Source organism: Homo sapiens, chromosome 1 (genome assembly GCF_000001405.40).
Source record: "Homo sapiens chromosome 1, GRCh38.p14 Primary Assembly".
Lineage (NCBI taxonomy): Eukaryota > Metazoa > Chordata > Mammalia > Primates > Hominidae > Homo > Homo sapiens.
This window is the reverse complement of record NC_000001.11, coordinates 12324011-12342030: the sequence shown is the minus strand read 5'-3', so window position 1 is coordinate 12342030 and position 18020 is coordinate 12324011. Positions and strand designations below refer to the sequence as shown.

At 41.4% G+C, this 18020-nt stretch overlaps 1 protein-coding gene across 2 annotated transcripts in view; it reads right to left on the bottom strand.

Moving 5' to 3' along the window:
- VPS13D (vacuolar protein sorting 13 homolog D) overlaps positions 1-18020 on the bottom strand; it is a 282018-nt gene that overhangs the window by 170017 nt on the left and 93981 nt on the right. The window contains exons 36-41 of one of the 2 annotated variants that reach the window (NM_015378.4): positions 14177-14383; positions 12113-12202; positions 8665-8805; positions 6204-6326; positions 3726-3800; positions 146-251 (exon numbers count right to left, since the gene is read on the bottom strand). In NM_015378.4, coding sequence (NP_056193.2) covers positions 146-251; positions 3726-3800; positions 6204-6326; positions 8665-8805; positions 12113-12202; positions 14177-14383 — 742 coding nt within the window. The remainder of the gene's footprint in view (positions 1-145; positions 252-3725; positions 3801-6203; positions 6327-8664; positions 8806-12112; positions 12203-14176; positions 14384-18020) is intronic. The other variant, NM_018156.4, reaches the window with a different exon arrangement.

The following is an 18020-nucleotide window of genomic DNA, read 5'->3' as shown; positions in this document are numbered from 1 at the left end:
ATCATAAATCTCAGCAAGACAGCAAGTTATTCATTCAAATATCATCCCAAGAGCCTCAAGAGGGGGCCCACCTTGCTCTACTGGGCTGGCACAAGAAGGCTTTGGTGGCAGAGATGACTCGGGGTAATATAAACTGACTGCTTACCTGGTGGGTGTGGTGGTCAGGGTGGCAAACCACAAAGTGCACCCCGTGTGGTTCCTCAGAGCAAAGGGGACAAATGGCTGCCGGCGCTTGGGGGTTTTCACCTCTGCTACGACAAACAGAAGAAGGCTATGAGCAGACGCCCCTATCTGCATGGCAGAGACCCTCCCCCAACCTGGAGACAGTGCCCAAATTTGTCTCTTGTGCAAAGGGGCTGAAGGTGGAAGCAAGAAAGAAGGAACAGGACAAATGGAAGCTCCACGTATTTGCTGGCTGCTATGGGAGAATTTGGTCCCTGCCTGACTATTCCCAGCCCCCAATTCTTCCACAACTCTTACAGGCCTTATCTCTCAGAAGAAGGCATCAGGACCTAACTTGGTGGGAATCACGAAAGAAATAAAAATGGACCTCCCCAGTGCTGCCAAGAACTATATTCTAAGTGGGTAACCTAAAATGTAGCAAGATATATCATATGTACTTATTTAAACTTTGTCCAAAAAGCCTTTACCTTAAGGAAGTCTCCCTTTACATAAGTTACCCTACAGTCATAGTATGCATTTTGTAACAAAATAAAATAAAAACATTCTTTCCTATTCTTTTATACTAATAGTTGTTTTTGTCTCCCTGGAAAGGCAGAAGTAGACCATCTCAAAGCTTTTCAAACAAAATTGTTAGCCCATTTTTTAAACATAGATACCACCACCATCTATTATAAGGTGGGTACCATGGAAGCCATAAAAGGAACATAAAATATGGCTTCATTGCACAAAAAGCTTCTAATCAGGGAATGTGGAAAGAAACAACAATCAATACAAAACTGTAAGTAACCAAATTCTAAAGAGCGGTGACCTGACTATAAACATTGTAAGAAACCCAAAGCAGGCTTTCTGGTGCCCCAGCTGCTTTGGCAGACAGATCCCTCTGCAGGTACCACTGCCCATGCTATGTGGTTCCACATGGAACACAGAGTACTGAAAGGAAGGGCAGCAGCTCCTCTAACCAAGGACCTGTCTCCTCCACTGGCCACACAAATAGGGAGGCAGCAGCAGCAAACCAGTGTGAGAAAGCCTCCTGGTTGACATGTTCACAACACACGTACACAACCAACAAAAAAAAGGGAGGTGTGGCTCAATCTTCTTATGTGTCTAGCATTAAAGTAGGAAGACAGCGTGAGAAAGACCATGACCCACATGCTCTGCAGCTGGGAGAAAATGACATCTACAGGAAGCTGCAAATGCTAACTGCAGAGAACACTAAGGCAAAACTGAATTCATCCTACAGGACATCTTCTGTCAACAAAATCGAGAAGACAAACTGCAACATGTCCTGCCTTCTGCAACCTCCAGACTGAGGCTGGGACTGTATCATAACAGTCGGTAATTGTCACTGCCTTTTAAAAAGCAATCACTCCCTTTTTTCTCTTACCTCTTTTAAAGTTTTGAAAGGTTAGTACTGTAAACAATGCAAACCAAGCAATTTTGGGTCAAGGCAAGTTCTATTTTGATAACAACGATGGTTCAGGGGAGTCTAAGATATAGTAATCTGCTAAACAAATGAGCAGTCTCCAGGGTATTCCCACAATTTTGTGGTCAGTCATTTAGAGATACCCCAAATACATCTAAAGATAATCTCCACTAGGAATATGCCCATTTCTCACCCCAATGGCCTTACTTAGCTCCCAAAGTTTGCTTTAAAAAAAAAAATTAGTGCTCATCAAGTAGAAAATTAAGGAGTAGCTGTAAGGCTGCTGACAAGAGCAGAGGGGGAGTAAAAAATTTAAGAGCTGTCTGCAGGGTAAACGGTATTTACTGTGGCACTTTGAAAGGCACCTCCCTCTTCTATGAGTGCAATGAGAGAGCTGCTTTTATTACAGTAGATAAAGGGCCCAGGAGAAAAAGAAGCCAGATGTGCTTTCATATCCCACTGTGAGCCAGACTGTAAGTTTCCATTTGCAAATTAGATTTAAAAAGAACAGGTGGCAGATGGCTTTGATCAGTTTGTTATACAGAATAAAGTGCTGCGAATCCATACAAATATATTCACAAGTATACTGCTTTGGAGTTAAATAGCATGGGTAGGCACAATGCTTAGGTCTCCAAGCTTCTTGCATTGATGAGACATAATGGCACAGGCTTCAATAACCCATTTCTCTGAGGATAAAAATACACAGCATGCACGCAAATCCAAGCCCAACATCAGGCAACAAATCTGACATCTTCTGCACCAGGGTCCAAATAAACTATGTACTTGCCTTTGGCACAGCACCAGAGACAAAAGTTCCCAAGTCCATCAAAGAGAACATTATTCCCTAATGGCCTCAGAAAATCTGCCCCTAGTGACCAAACCCAATTTCTTCATGGGCTGAGAGAGAGTCTAAAGCTACCCGTATCCAAGTTCAGCTTCAAACAGCTCCAGCTAAGGAAATTTCTACCCCTTCGGACTTGTTTCACACAGTAATTTTGCCATTATAAACAGTGTAGGTTGTCATGCTATGTAAGCAGCTCAGTCCATCAGAAAGGACCTGGTTTGTAAATCATAAGAAGCAGATTAAAATACTAGGTTTGCTACTAGGAGGTCAAGTGAATAAAGGCAAATCACCTAGTGTCTCTGAACCTCACTGTCCTTATCAGCTAAATAGGAATAATGCTTGGCTAAGCCTGAAAGATTAAGTAACATATAGAAAGCTTAGAAGCAGGAATACACAAATAAATTAAGATTCAGCTCTGGGCTTTCTTTGTGAGCCCTCCCTCAAACATCCACCCTGGTAAAATTGTCCAGAAAAAAAAAACCCAGGGCAATGTACCCTGAGTATTAACATCCCTGTTCTATATTCCTGGTAGAGGGAGTTCCTGTGGTCTCTTTCTATTTAAAAAAATCATGACGAATAATCTGGAATTTGCCATGTACACACATAAATCATTCAGATTAAACTGCACTCCCTAAAACAAAAACTGAACATCTTGGGACTCCAATTCCTCAATGATTATGGTGTTTTCTACCACATTCACTTACCAGTGAATTTCTCAAGAAACTTTCAAAGATCAGAGATAGAAATAAAGAAAATTTTCTTTTTTATCTCCTAAACACAAAAACTGACATCCAAAGAAATTAAGGTTTGTGTCTAAGCAATTATTTACTGAGAATTTTTTTTCCGCTATCCCTATTATTATAGTGCCTGTTGCAGAGCCCCATGCCTTCCCATGAGAATTTTCAGTGGGTATTTTATAAACTTAAGACTTGTGGCACCACTGCTTGATGAAGCATGGTGCTCCTCAATCCACTTGCTCTTCAATATGAGAAATCACCTCTAACTGACATTGTATTAACATATTTCTGCATCATACACTGTGGAGTTTATTCCATTTCCACCAAAGTTAAGGGAGATGGAAGGGAAACAATATAAGAATCAGCTGATAATATGCACCACTCTGTTCATCAGTTGGAAATGTTCTTTCCTATTACTAAAGTACTCACGACATGGAATACCCCCAATTCAACTCCCACTCATTAAAAAAAAAATTGATGTACAAGGAAGTTCTTAAAACAGGAAAATAAAGCAAGCCCTCGCTTGGCTATACTGTACCTCTAGCATAGATCTGGTGCTCTAGGTTAGTCAGACTGGCTGTACTCCTAGTTCTAAGGTAGACAAGGGGGAGGCCTGGTAGACAGGAGAGACAAAGTTAGAGGCTAAGAATAAATACAGTGAAATAAGAAGACTTGCTTCCAAACGATAAGCACAAATAGAGAACATTACAAAAATAGCAAGCATCATGCAAGTACAGAGTCATTCCCATCAGTGATTACTAAGCACTACGAATGTACTTGACAAAGTGAACACATTTTTATGCTAGTTTTTATTGTGGAGGCTGGATCAAAGTAACATGCTTTTTTTTTTTTTTTCCTGAATTAGAAGAATATGTATTGAACCTTCTCTTGAACAGAATGACGAGCCTTTTGAAGATTTTTAATTTAAAGGTGTTATGTTCTTAAATGGCATTAAAAAGTTACAAAAATCCATCAGTACAGATTTTAGTGAAGGTTGCTCCATTCCAACTGGTAAAACACAGAAGTAAAATGCCAGTCTCAGGGGATCTCAAAAATTCAGGGGAAGAGTCAGTATGTGTTCCAAATTTAAACAATCTCTACCAAGGAGTTGTCTCATAGTGTTTATTTAAATTCTAAATCAAGCATGGAAGTTTTCAGAATATTTGATATTTTCATAAAATGTCCTTGGAATACAAAACTAATAAATTCAATGAAGTGCCACACCGCCCAGGTTTACCTGCAAAATCTCAGCCCTGACTGAACAAAGCCAACAATTTTGTCAAAAGGAGGCTGGTATTTTCTTTCCCCTGATAAAGAAACAGTGAGAAAGCAGCAGGTCCCTTAGGCTAAATTTCATGTTAAGGGCTATTCCCAAGAGCTTGTTTTAAGGCCAGTCTGAATAAAAAGCATAACTTTTGTAGGAATATGACTTACTATTCTTGAATAAGACCTGAAAGTTTATGATTAGTTCAACAAGGTTGAACCCTACTCACTTTCAAAATAAATTCCCAATGATCATTTTAGTAGGCCTGCTAAAAGAATACAATCCTGGAATGTACTGTACTACCATCCAGGAATTTCCAATAAGAAAAGAGGTTTGGAAATTTATGCATATTCAAGTTATGTCTTATTAAAAAGATAGATTACACTTTTATAAGCCTAAGTAATCATAAAAATCTTTAAATAAATAAAAATCAAGCTTTAACTCAGCACCAGCATTTAATATAGATGAGGAAGCCTTTTAACTATAGAGAAAGAGAGAGGGACAAAAATTTTAAAAAGGAAGGAAGAAAGGGAGGCAGGGAGGGAAGAAGGAAAGAAGAAAGAGAGGGACAAGAAAATCTTTCATCAGAATCTTGCAGACCAGGCCTTGCTAGAGTTTGACTCTGAATTGAAGATGCCCCTGCATGAATAATGTTTTAGAAACACACTCTCTTGGACATATTACAAAGATTATTTAGAGTCTTCTGGGTAGACTATGTTACATTTTCTTGACACACAAATTGGGAAGGTTGGAGGAGGAGCTAAAATCAAAGCTGACAATATCTGAAAAGCCCTGGCTCCTAAGTAATGACCTTGAGACTCAGAAGCAACAGCCTGGGAAAACAGAGAACAAGCACAGCTGACATTTCTTTGTGTCTCTTTCTAGAAGTACAAGGCAGACAGAAAGTCCACTTATTCACCCTGAGGAGAGATGAACCAGTACAATTACTTCACACACTAAGAACACCCAATCTTCCCATGACACGTTTGCAGACCAGATGGAATATTTAAGTATTCATGAGCTATGTGAAGTCCAGCCAAGACTCCCCAAAGAAACCACATTGTAAGAGTTGGAGCTGAGTTGAATTTGGATGACAATGGCTTGTGGAACAACTAAGACCATGCAGTTGTCCATCACCATCTCCCCAGCTCTGAGGAAAACAGAGCTGGCGAGGCATTAAATAAGGAAAGAAAGCATCATCAATAGAGAGCAAGCTGACTCCTCTTTCTTCAAGAGGCAGGGCATTCAATTCTTTTATACTCTATGAACAGCACAGGGCTCCCTTTTTAACAACTTTTTCCACATGGGCTCCTGCTCGCCCTCTTTTCAAGAATATGTCCAAACCCTCTATCTCTAGATTTAGAAGACCATTTTAGATGCTTTTAAAAATCTGGCCAAAAAAATCCGATCAATTAGAAAACCAATGTTTTGCAGAGTAAAACACAAACCACAGCTGATCCTGATGCATTCTCAGGTGCACCAGTTCATATGCATTATTACCAGGATTTAGGAATTACGTGTTGCAGATCTTTTCTCCCCCGCAAAGGTGGAATTACAGCCCACATTTATAAGTTCAGTAGTTCATGCCAGAAAACTGTCTCCTGCAAAGACTAAAACAGAACTACAGAAGATAGTCAGAATTTCCTGTAGGTTTTTCCACGCAGAATGATGGTTCCATTTGAATTTCTCAGTGAAGCATTGCTTTGTAGGTCAAAAGTGATTTAGTTAAACACATGTAGTGAAAACTCTTACTTTGTCCAAAACATGGAGGATCCACCGAAGAGCCCATCCAGTCTTCTGATTTAGCTGACTCTATGTCCTTGTCATCTTTACAGTAATCTGCCATCCACGATTCCTTGGTACTTACATACTGGTCTAGAAAGAATCCCCCAGAGATATTAAGAGAACTAAAAAAGATGGAGGGTTCGAGTCAAATAATTTCAATTCAGCAAAACAAGCTTTTATTGAGTGTCTCATTACATGCCTGGCCTGTGCTAGATTCCGAGAAAGTCTATGCCCTGGAGAGCCTCACGCTCCACTGAAAGAGATTACCATGAATAGACAACCATCGCCACAAAACTCTATCATAATGTGAAAGACATTAAAGATGTGGATTCTCTTCAAACCAATCTATAGATTCAATAAAATCCCCATCAAAATACCCATAGGGCATTTTGTGGAATTTTAAAAGCTGAATCTAAAATTTATATGGAGGCCGGACGCGGTGGCTCACGCCTGTAATCTCAGCACTTCGGGAGGCTCAGGCAGGCGGATCACTTGAGTCCAGGAGTTTGAGGCCAGCCTGGCCCACATAGCAAAACCCCATCTCTACTAAAAATACAAAACTTATGTAGGCGTGGTGGCGTGCACCTGTAGTCCCAGCTACTCAGTAGGCTGAGGCAGGACAATCGCTTGAACCTAGGAGGTGGAGGTTGCAGTGAGCCGAGATCATGCCACTGCACTCCAGAGGCTGAAATTCAGCAGACAATTCTCCACAAGTAGTTTTACTTCTGTGAGAGAATTACAATGGGGATAGCAGGTTAACAAAAACAATTACAGTGCACCACACCTAGATGAAGATCTTTTATACTAATTAAGATGTTATACTTTTTGGAAGAAGAATTATTGGTTTCTGGTTTTCAATTAGAACACTTGGCTACAGAAGTAATATTTATTTAAACACAAGAGGTCATAGCTACGTTTCTGGGTTTCAGTATAGTATTCGGAACAAGGAATTGAAGGTGAAAAAAACAAAACAAATTTTACCACTGACGAGAATGCCTTTTGGAAGATTTTTTGTTTGGTTGGTTTCTTAGAGACAGGGTCTTGCTCTGTCTCCAAGGCTGGAGTACACGGGCACAATCATAGCTCACTGTAACTTTGAACTCCTGCACTCAAGTAATCCTTCCACCTCAGCCTCCTGAGTAGCTGGGACTACAGGCACACGCCACTATGCCCAGCTAATTGTTTATTTTTGTAGAGACAAGGTCTCACAATTTTGCCTAGGCTGGTCTGGAACTTCTGGCCTCAAATGAGCTTCCCATCTTGGCTTCTCGAAGAACTGGGTTAACAGGCATGAGCCAATGTGCACGGCCAGAAGATATTCTTAAAGAGACATATACTGTACTCATCAGAAACACCAATAAGAACCTTTAGGTAAGCTCTTGTTTACTGCAGCTTTTCAAAAGACTACCACAAACTTTCTCTAACCTTCTAGAGTAAGAGATGTTGTGAGTAAGAGATGTTGTGAGAAACAATGTAGGAGTCAAAACAATACAGTTTAGAGAAATCACAGGGTCAACTTACTATTATCTAGGTGATATTAACAACTAGGCAAATTAGTGGATGAAATCTGATCATATAAACAGTGGTTTTAAATTTGGGGGGTCAACAAACTTATGGTCTCATTTCACAATACATTCTTTCCATCCAACTCTGACATGCGTAAGGAAGTGGATATTCTAACAGCCTCAATCCAACATACACACCAAAGGAAGTTCACAATTTGCAATAGTATGTGTTATCGCTCAAAGATAAAGTATAGTAATTCCAAAATCAGATCAAGTAGATCAATAAATCAAACAATGAATGTGAGTTTTCACAGTGAAGGTACACACTACTTGATTGTATGATTATATTGCTTTCCTTTTAGATGGCAGAACTGTAACAATAGAGCAGTTTTTATTCATGACATTGAATCCAGAGATGTACATTTCAGTGTTGCCAAAGATACTTTTAGATAACACACCACTAACCTGGCAACCCTTAAGCAAGTCATTTTCAGAGTTAGGTCAAAATGATAATGGGAAACAACAAAGGCAACTTATTCTACTATAAAGATATGGTCAAAATCACACCTTTTAAGAATTAGTCCGTGAATAGCTTGAGCAAAGTTAATCTAAACTCACTTCCAGGACATTTAATAAACTCTAGTGACCAAGCATTATGAGGAGAAAGTCCATCACGGCCATTTACGTTTCCTAAGTAATCTAAGTTCTTGCTTAACCACTGATAGCATCATTATGGGATGCCAACGGTGGAGAAACAGGTTGAGAATCAAGAGGCTATTAGGGTTGATCAGGAAAGCAGTCAGGATGAAGAAGTGATGCCTGGTACAGGCCCAGGTATTTGCTAAACCAGGATTAATAGTCTTCCAGACTCAGAACTTAGGTACGGAAAGGTATCAGTCTATGAAAGACAACTTTCTACTCACCAATTAGCACAGAAGTGATATTGATATCCAAACGAGGTTTGGCCTTGGCTTCTAGCTTCAGTCGAGGAGGATGGAGACGACTAGCTGCCTGCTGTTGCCAGGATACAGAGCATGGCCAAGGCTCAATAAATGGCTCCCAGCCTAAAAGAACACAGGAAATAAGACATCTGTTCAGCAGATATCAAGAGTTTATAGGGGAACACTGCTCGCAAATGTTCAGCAAGGACAAACTCGAGCTTAATAGCTTTCTACTTCCAATTCAATTTCACAACAAAAGCACCAACCACCTTTAGCTACAGGTCACCCTACAGATGTCTGCGTTGTCCAGAAGACACAAGTGGAAAGGCATATATGTACCCCCACGATGGTCTTCCAGAGGTGGCAGGAAGGAGGGCAGGCAGTGTATGTGCCCTCTTCCACTAAAGAACAGGTGGGATGTGTTGAGACACTCAAGATGGAAAAAGGAGTCTCAGACTAAGATTGGAAAAATAATAAAGTGTCTTAAATAGCTATTAAATTTGATTCTCCTGGTTACAGGACCAATACATTGGTTGAATAAATAGGTACATATGAAGGCTCACTTTTTCTTTTTCTTAAAATATGCACAAAAACTATATAAACAACATATAAAATAATACCACTAACACTCGTGTACTCACTATTCAACTTAAGAAATAGAAAATTACAAGTTCCCAAGGGCCATTCCCTACCATCTCATTCCCCTCCTTCCCACCAACCCTCTCCCACCCAACTCCAGGTGACCATTCACTTGAATTTTTAGTTAATCATTTCCTTGCTCTTCTTTATAATTTTACCAAGCATATATACCTTTCTTAAGAACATTTAGACTGTCCTGCTTGTGATCTTTACATAAATGGAATCCCCATGCGCATTCTTTTTCAAGTTTCTATTCTTGTTCACCAATATGTCTTTGAGCATACTGTTGAGCATACTGCTACATCACATTGACGCAGGTCACCGTGGTACATTGTTTTCACTACTGAATATTAACATGCATTATAATGAATATACAATTTATTTATCCATTCTACTTCTGAAAGACATTCACTTGATTCCAGTTTTATTGCTATTGGAATACTATACTATAAGCAGCCTTATATACATCTGTAGTTCACACAGGCAAGACAGTCTCTACGGTACAGACCTAGAAGCAACACATTGCGGGGTTGTTGAGTATGCTTACACTCAAATTTACCAGGTCATGCCAAATTGTTTTACACAGTAGTGGTAGTAATGTATAGTTCTAATAGCAAGTACTATGGCTTATATGTTCCAATAATTAGTAGTGTCCCACTTAATTTTTGCTAATCTCTTGGGTGTGAAAAATGGTACATCACTGTGACTTAAAAGACTCAACTTTTCAAAGCCAATTAATTTTTAACAGATCTTTAAATAGACTCACACAATCAGCCACTGAACAAATCCAAATCAGTATGTAACACACAGTAGATACATTAGACTCCTTACACCATTTGACATTTAGTGACCTGAATGTGTTCATACAACTTTAAAAGTAAGCAATATTTGGCCTAAGAAAACAAATGATTCTCAGAAAAATAGCTCCCACATGCAAGAGTTTCTCTCAACTAGAAAGACTTGGGCCATTATTCTTTTTTTTTTTTTTTTTTTTTTTTAAGACAGAGTCTCGCTCTGTCGCCTAGGCTGGAGTGCAGTGGCACGATCTTGGCTCACTGTAATCTCCACCTCCTGGGTTCACACCGTTCTCCTGCCTCAGCCTCCCGAGTAGCTGGGACTACAGGTGCCCACCACCACGCCCGGCTAATTTTTTGTATTTTTTTTTTAGTAGAGATGGGGTTTCATCATGTTAGCCAGCATGATCTCAATCTCCTGACCTGATGATCCGCCCACCTCGGCCTCCCAAAGCGCTGGGATTACATTCTAAAGTGAAACATTTTGAACAATGAAGAAATAAGGGTGTTAGCTTTAAGTGAGTCTGGTACACAGGGAAAATGTTAACTAACATAAAATTAAATGTGATAAATACTCTAGAACACTCAGCAGCAGCACAACAAATCGAGGTTTAATTTCTTACTGAAATTAAAGGGAGCAGGCCGTCGGAGGTTTACACCTTGGACTGCCCAGCACTACTCTGATTATTCTGTCCATGCCTACTACCAATTCCGATGAGACCTTCTTTCAGCTCTCTTAAGGCAAAGTTCACTGCTCAAACCACTTGGCCCTAATATATTATGGCTTCTGAATTTCAACCTGTATGTATAGGCTCTTACCTTGGTCTTTCAAATGGGAAGAAAGAAACCTGAAAATGCTTGCGATATTATTGAGGTTTACGTCTCCCAAAAAATAGCCTGCTCTGATCAGCAGTGGTTTTTCGTTTGTTTGTTTTTGTTTTTTCTAGGGAGCAGGTAGGGCAGAATATATAGTGTCACTGACTCAGTAGATTCTAATAAAACAAACAAACCCAGTGGGGAGTGAAGGGACTTGAGGTTTAAAATGCTTGGCTGGGCGCAGTGGCTCACGCCTGTAATCCCACCACTTTGGGAGGCTGAGGCAGGTGGATCACCTGAGGTCAGGAGTTCGAGACCAGCCTGGCCAGTCTGGTGAAACCCCATCTCTACTAAAAATACAAAAAATTAGCTGGGCATGGTGGCAAGCGCCTGTAATCCCAGCTACTCGGGAGGCTGAGGCAGGGGAATCACTTGAACTTGGAGGCAGAAGTTGCAGTGAGCCGAGATCGTGCCACTGCACTCCAGCCTGGGTGACAGAGTGAGACTCGGTCTCAAAAAACAAACAAAAAAATGCTTGTGGGCATAAATCTCCCTTGAAATTTAGCTACTCTCAGGGCGAAATAAATGATCCTTCACTATTGAGCAATGGCATATTCTAGAATGAGCCAAACTGCAGGATCCAAAAAAAATTAACTATAAAAACATCACTTTTTAAATTTTTTTTGAGACAGAGCCTTGCTCTGTCATGCAGGCTGGAGTGCAGTGGTGTGATCTCAGCTCACTGCAACCTCCGCCTGCCGGGTTCAAGTGATTCTCCTGCCTCAGCCTCCCAAGTAGCTGGGACTACAGGCGCCCACCACCATGCCCAGCTAGTTTTGTATTTTTAGTAGAGACAGGGTTTCGCCACATTGGCCAGGCTGGTCTCGAACTCCTGACCTCAGGGTGATCCGCCCTCCTCAGCCTCCCAAAGTGCTGGGATTACAGGCGTGAGCCACCACGTCCAGCCAAAAACATCTTTTTAGTTGCAACATATCAGATATGTTTTTAGCACAACAGAAAATCCTTATTTTCTGTGTTTATGCAGTCTACTTGCTTTTCATCTTTCCCCGTCCCACCCCACCCCTGCCCTTTCCTTCATGTAAAATTTACGTAGCAATAGGTCCAGGCAAACATTTAAATTTATTTTTTAAATCCCATGATAACATATGCTTTATACTGACCTGAAAGAGCACGGTTATAATAATCTCCAGAAAGGGTGAAGTGGGCATAGCCTTCAGGGCTAGTTCTTACACGCTGAAGAAAATTCAGACCTGCAATGAAAGCAAACCTTACTGCAGCGGCAGGGCAGGAGCAACCAAAACTGCCTTTTGCTGATGACATTAAAGAAACATTAGAGCTAATACTCGCAAAGGAGAGCACACAACATTCTGATACTTTGTTCATCATGTACTTTTTTGCATCAATTTTTAAAAATATGGCACTGAGATATTATTTATCTCCATGACTGAGTTTTCTGGCACCCTCTTAAACTCTGTGCCTGAGGCAAGTACCTCATTTGCCTTCCCACAGTGCCAGCCCTGGCACCCAGGTGTACCTGAAGCCTGTGGGAACATAAAAGATATTTCTGGCCAGGTACGGTGGCTCATGCCTGTAAATCCCAGCACTTTGAGAGGCCAAGGTGGGTGGATCATGAGGTCAGGAGATTGAGACCATCCTGGCCAACATGGTGAAACCCCATTTCTACTACAAATACAAAAACTGGCTGGGCGTGGTAGCGGGCGCCTGTAATCCCAGTTATTTGGGAGGCTGAGGCAGGAGAATTGCTTGGACCCGGGAGGCGGAGGTTGCAGTGAGCCAAGATAGCGCCACTGCACTCCAGCCCGGCAACAAAGCAAGACTCTTGTCTCAAAAAATAAAGATAAAAAATAAAAAAAAGATATTTCTACCTGAAAAATGATAAGAGGGCAGACTGATTAGAGAAGTCATGTTCTGATAAATATTAGCTCAAAATGTTAAGATTGACATAGAAAAATAAGAAATCAACTAATTAGTCTCTGCAGAAAAGATATTCATCAAAACAGTCAAAATTCCAGTTGTCACTTTTAACCAAGTAGCCCTGGTGGTGCCCTAGATAGAAGCTCAGGGAAAGGGCAAGCTCTGTAATGTGCAAGAGGCCAGATTCAAGCCCCAGAAGCAAACTTTACCTGAAGGAAGAAGAGGCTGGCAAGATCGAAACAATGGAAAGTTAAAACTAAACAGAGTAGGGAGATTTTCATTTACTCTCCTCAAAACCTCAACCTCGCCAGGCGCGGTGGCTCATGCCTGTAATCCCAGCACTTTGGGAGGCTGAGGCGGGCAGATCCCTGAGGTCAGGAGGTCGAGACAGGCCTGACCAACATGGAGAAACCCTGTCTCTACTAAAAATACAAAATTAGCCAGGCATGGTGGCACATGCCTGTAATCCCGGCTACTCGGGGGACTGAAGCAGAAGAATCGCTTGAACCCAGGAGGCAGAGATTGTGGTGAGCCGAGATTGCACCACTGCACTCCAGCCTGGGCAACAAGAGCGAAACTCCGTCTCATAAAAAAAAAAGACCTCAACTTCACACTGCTTGCAGTGAGGCACTTAAGGATCAAGTACTCCCACCAGAAGTGATGGTGGGCCACTTTAATCCTAGCCACTCGGGAAGCAGGAGAACTGCTTGAGCCCATGCGTTTGAGACCAACCTTGGGCAACAAAACAAGACCTCACCTTTGAGGTAAAAAAAAAAAAAAAAAAGGATAGAGTACTCCTACTTTGGTCCCCACTCTAGCAAAGGACAGCTCACATATAAACAGTGTTTTACCCCTTACAAGGCCCTGTGGTGGAGACTCAGAAGTGCACTTTCTAGTAAGATTCTTGTTTTTGATTTTCAAGAGATAATACAACAGAACCATTATTGTCTGAGCTTATCTGTTAAATGCCTAGCAGTATTCACTACAATCTTTAGATACATAAAAAGATAAGAAAAATGAAGAGATCAGGAATTATTTAGCTAGAGATGTTAATACAATGGAAATTTTATCAAAGACCATTCCTATTCCCAAGCTATAGGCTGAAGGCCACATATGGCAAATAAAAGTTTCTTTAAAACATACATAATGAAAAACATATGTAAAACTATTATCTAAATTTCACCCAAATGACTAAATAGAGTATGAATGACAAAAAAAAAAAGGCCCCAAATAATTCAGCAATGACTGGAAATATTCAAGATGAATCTGAAAACCAGTACAACACTCACGGGAAAAGGTGAGTTCAGCGAGAGGAACATCACAATCCATGCAGTCATCGATGAAACAGATGCACACACTCTCAGCTTTGATCTCCACGCCAGAGATCAATGGCGCTGCCACAGCCCCTGGGCTATCTCGGCTGGTGGAGGCCAAGGAAAGAGACTTCAGAGGTTCCGCATTCTTAAACAACCAACTTGCTGCCTTTTTCAATTGGCCTTCAAAGAAATTAAGAAGTGATCAGTTCTACCAGCTTCCACAGCTACCCTAGCCACTCACAGAGGAAACAGAGAAATAAAATTCTCTAGAGACCTACTGGGAAGCCAAGAGAGCCTTGATCCCAGAAGTATTCTTGGACTTAATAAAAAAGGAGGGTGGGGGTGGTGGGGGTGGGGGGTGGGAGGGAATCTCAGCATAATAATCATCCTGCTTTTAAGCAAACATTTTGTTGCACACCTTCCACTCAAATTTACCACACCTTTCACGATCTGGCCCAAAATGCCTCCAGGAAGCCATCCCTCTCTACCATGCCATCTGTTGAAGGAGAGGAGAGAAGAGGACAGGAGAGGATCCAGACACGGCGCCACTTGGTACCTAAGTCACCAGAGGCCAGTACCAGGGACAGTGTAAATGATCGAGGGCATGGGCTCCAGAGCAAGATGGCCTGGCTTCAGGTCCTGTTCTGCCCTTACCAGCTGCTGGCTCTTGGGCAAGTTATTTGATCTCTTTGTGCCCGACAGCACCCACTTAAAAGGACTGACAGGAAGAGGGAAGAATGAGTACATGGAAAGTTCTCAGAGTGAAGCCTGGAGTGTAATAAACATTATTTGCTATTATCTACATTACAGATACACATCAGTTGCTATTATCATATTAATTACTGATGGAATTAAGTTTTATCTACTGAAGAAATAAAAATTACTGGTCGGGTGCAGTGGCTCACACCTGTAATCCCAGCACTTTGGGAGGCCAAGGCGGACAGATCATGAGGTCAGGAGATCGAGACCATCCTGACCAACATGGTGAAACCCCGCCTCTACTAAAAATAACAAAAATTAGCTGGGCGTGGTGGCATGTGCCTGTAATCCCAGATACTTGGGAGGCTGAGACAGGAGAATCGCTTGCACCTGGGAGGCGGAGGTTGCAGGGAGCCAAGATTGCACCACTGCACTCCAGCTTGGGCAACAAGAGCAAAACTCTGCCTCAAAAAAAAAAAAAATTACCAAACAGAGGCCGAGCACAGTGGCTAATGCTTATAAGCCCAATGCTTTGGGAGGTTTAGGCAAGGGATCACTTTAGGTCAGGAATTTGAGACCAGCCTGGGCAACATAGCAAGACCTGTCTCTACAAAAAATTTAAAAATTAGCCACGTATGGTGGTGCATCCTGTAGTCCCAGCTACTCAGGAGGCTTAGGTGGGAGGATCATTTGAGCCTAGGAGTTTGAGGCTAGAGTGAGCCATGATCATTGTGCCACCACTACACTCCAGCCTGGGTAACAGAGCAAAACCCAGTATCTAAAATTAAAAAAAAAAAAAAAAAAAAATCCAAAAGGTTCTCAGAACTTTAATTAAAAAAAAAAAAAAAGGTGCTCGAATTGTTAAAGAAAGAGTAAAAAGCATAGGAAAAGTAAACATTAAGGGGTATAAAATTAATTAAACCAAAAACTAATGACTGGGTAAAACAAAACCAAGAACACATGAGAACTAGGTCTACCTTCATTTTTTTCAGAATCCAAAAGGTAAGTTAATGTAAACCAGTATGTCATGAAACAAGCCTTTTCACACATAAATTGGCTGGAATAACCCAGATACAATTTTTTTAGAAAAAGATTTGTCGATTCAAGAGCCCCAAAAAAAATTTTAAAAAAGAAAAATTAAAAAAAAAAAAAGAAATCAAGTAAAGAGCCTGAAAAATATATCTATACCCTTTGGTCTGGTATTTAAAATATAGATCACTCTACCAAGGATATACTTAAAAGACATAGACAAAAGTTCACACCAAAAAATGTTTACTACATAGAAGTGTGTATAATATTGAATAACAAGTAAAGAATGATTAAGTAAATTATAATATATCCTTAGAGTCAATGTAAAAAGATCAGTATTGATAAATAATTTCAATGACATGGGAAGATGCTGCTGATATATTAAGTATATCATAACAGAATTACAATCATAATTCAATAAAATATTTTTAAAAGACTATAAAATTGTATTGGCAACAGAATCTACCAGTACATTAAAAATGTAATGTGTGCATGTGTGTGTGTTGGATATACTGTCCACAGTAGGTAGAGAAGTAGAAAGAGGCCGGGTACAGTGGCTCACGCCTGTAATCTCAGCACTTTGGGAGGCCAAGGCAGGTGGATCACGAGGTCAGGAGTTCAATACCAGCCTGTACAAAAAAGGGAAACCCTGTCTCTACTAAAAATACAAAAATTAGCTGGGCATGGTGGCGGGCACCTGTAATCCCAGCTACTCAGAAGGCTGAGGCAGGAGTATCACTTGAACCTGGGAGGCGGAGGTTGCAGTGGGCCAAGATCGCGCCACTGCACTCCAGCCTGGGCAAGAGAGCGAGACTCTGTCTCAAAGAAAAAAAAAAAGAGAAGTAGAAAGAGAGAAAGTGCACACAAGTGTAAAGACTGGAAAGGAGGCTGAGGCAGGAGGATTGCTTGAGCCCAGGAGTTGGAGGCTGCAGTGAGCTATGATTGCGCCACAGCTATGATTGCATTCCAGCCTGGGCAACAGAGTGACACCCTGTCTTTTAAAAAAGGGGGAAAAAAAAGATGGAAGGAAATGCAGCCTGTGCTGTACTTCTCTTTTTGAAGAGAAAGGGAAACATGGAGATGGAAAGGAAGTGAGATGGAGTAGAAAGAACACAGATTTAGGAGGCAGGTAGACCTGGCTTTAAGTCCATCGTAGGGGACTAAGATGTGACCTCCACCAAGTTTACTTAAGAAGTTTTACCTAACCAATCTGAGCTGGTTTCCTCATTTCAAGTGGGAATAATAATGTCTGCCTCCAAGGGCTGTGAAGAGGATGCAAAAAGAAAACACAAAGATAGGCATACAGGACTTCAATAAATGGTCATAATTATCAATATCACCGCCATTAGCACAACCACTAGTAACAGTGGTTAACATTTATAGAGCACTTGCTGTGTGCTAGCACTTTCTTAGTGCTTTGCATATAGTCATTTACTTACATCAAATCTCTGAGGGAGACAGCCTCTTATCTTCTTTCTACAGATAAGGAAGCACTGGTTCACAGAGGTTAAAGCCACTTCCCAAAGTCATTAATAGGTAGTGGCAGACAGTAAGGATCTGAACCCAGTCAGCCAGCTCCAGAGCCCCTTTTTTTTTGAGACAGAGTCTCGCTCTGTTGCCTAGGCTGTAGTGCAGGGGCATGATCTTGGCTCACTGCAACCTCCGCCTCCCAGGTTCAATCGATTCTCCTGCCTCAGCCTCCTGAGTAGCTGGATTACAGGCATGAGCCACCACGCCAGCTAATTTTGTATTTTTAGTAGAGATGCGGTTTCGCCATGTTGGTCAGGCTGGTCTTGAACTCCTGACCTCAGGCGATCCATCTGCCTCTGCTCCCAGAGTGTTGGGATTATAGGCATGAGCCACCGCACCTGGCCTCAGAACCCAAATTCTTATCCACTACTAAAGACTGCTGCCTGTCATCCCGGCATTTTGGGAGGCCAAAGCGGGCAGATCACTTGAAGTCAGGAGTTCGAGACCAGTCTGGCCAACATGGTGAAACCCCACCTCTACTAAAAATACAAAAATTACCTAGGTGTGGTGACGCATGCCTATAAACCCAGGTACTCAGGAGGCTGAGGCAGAAGAATGG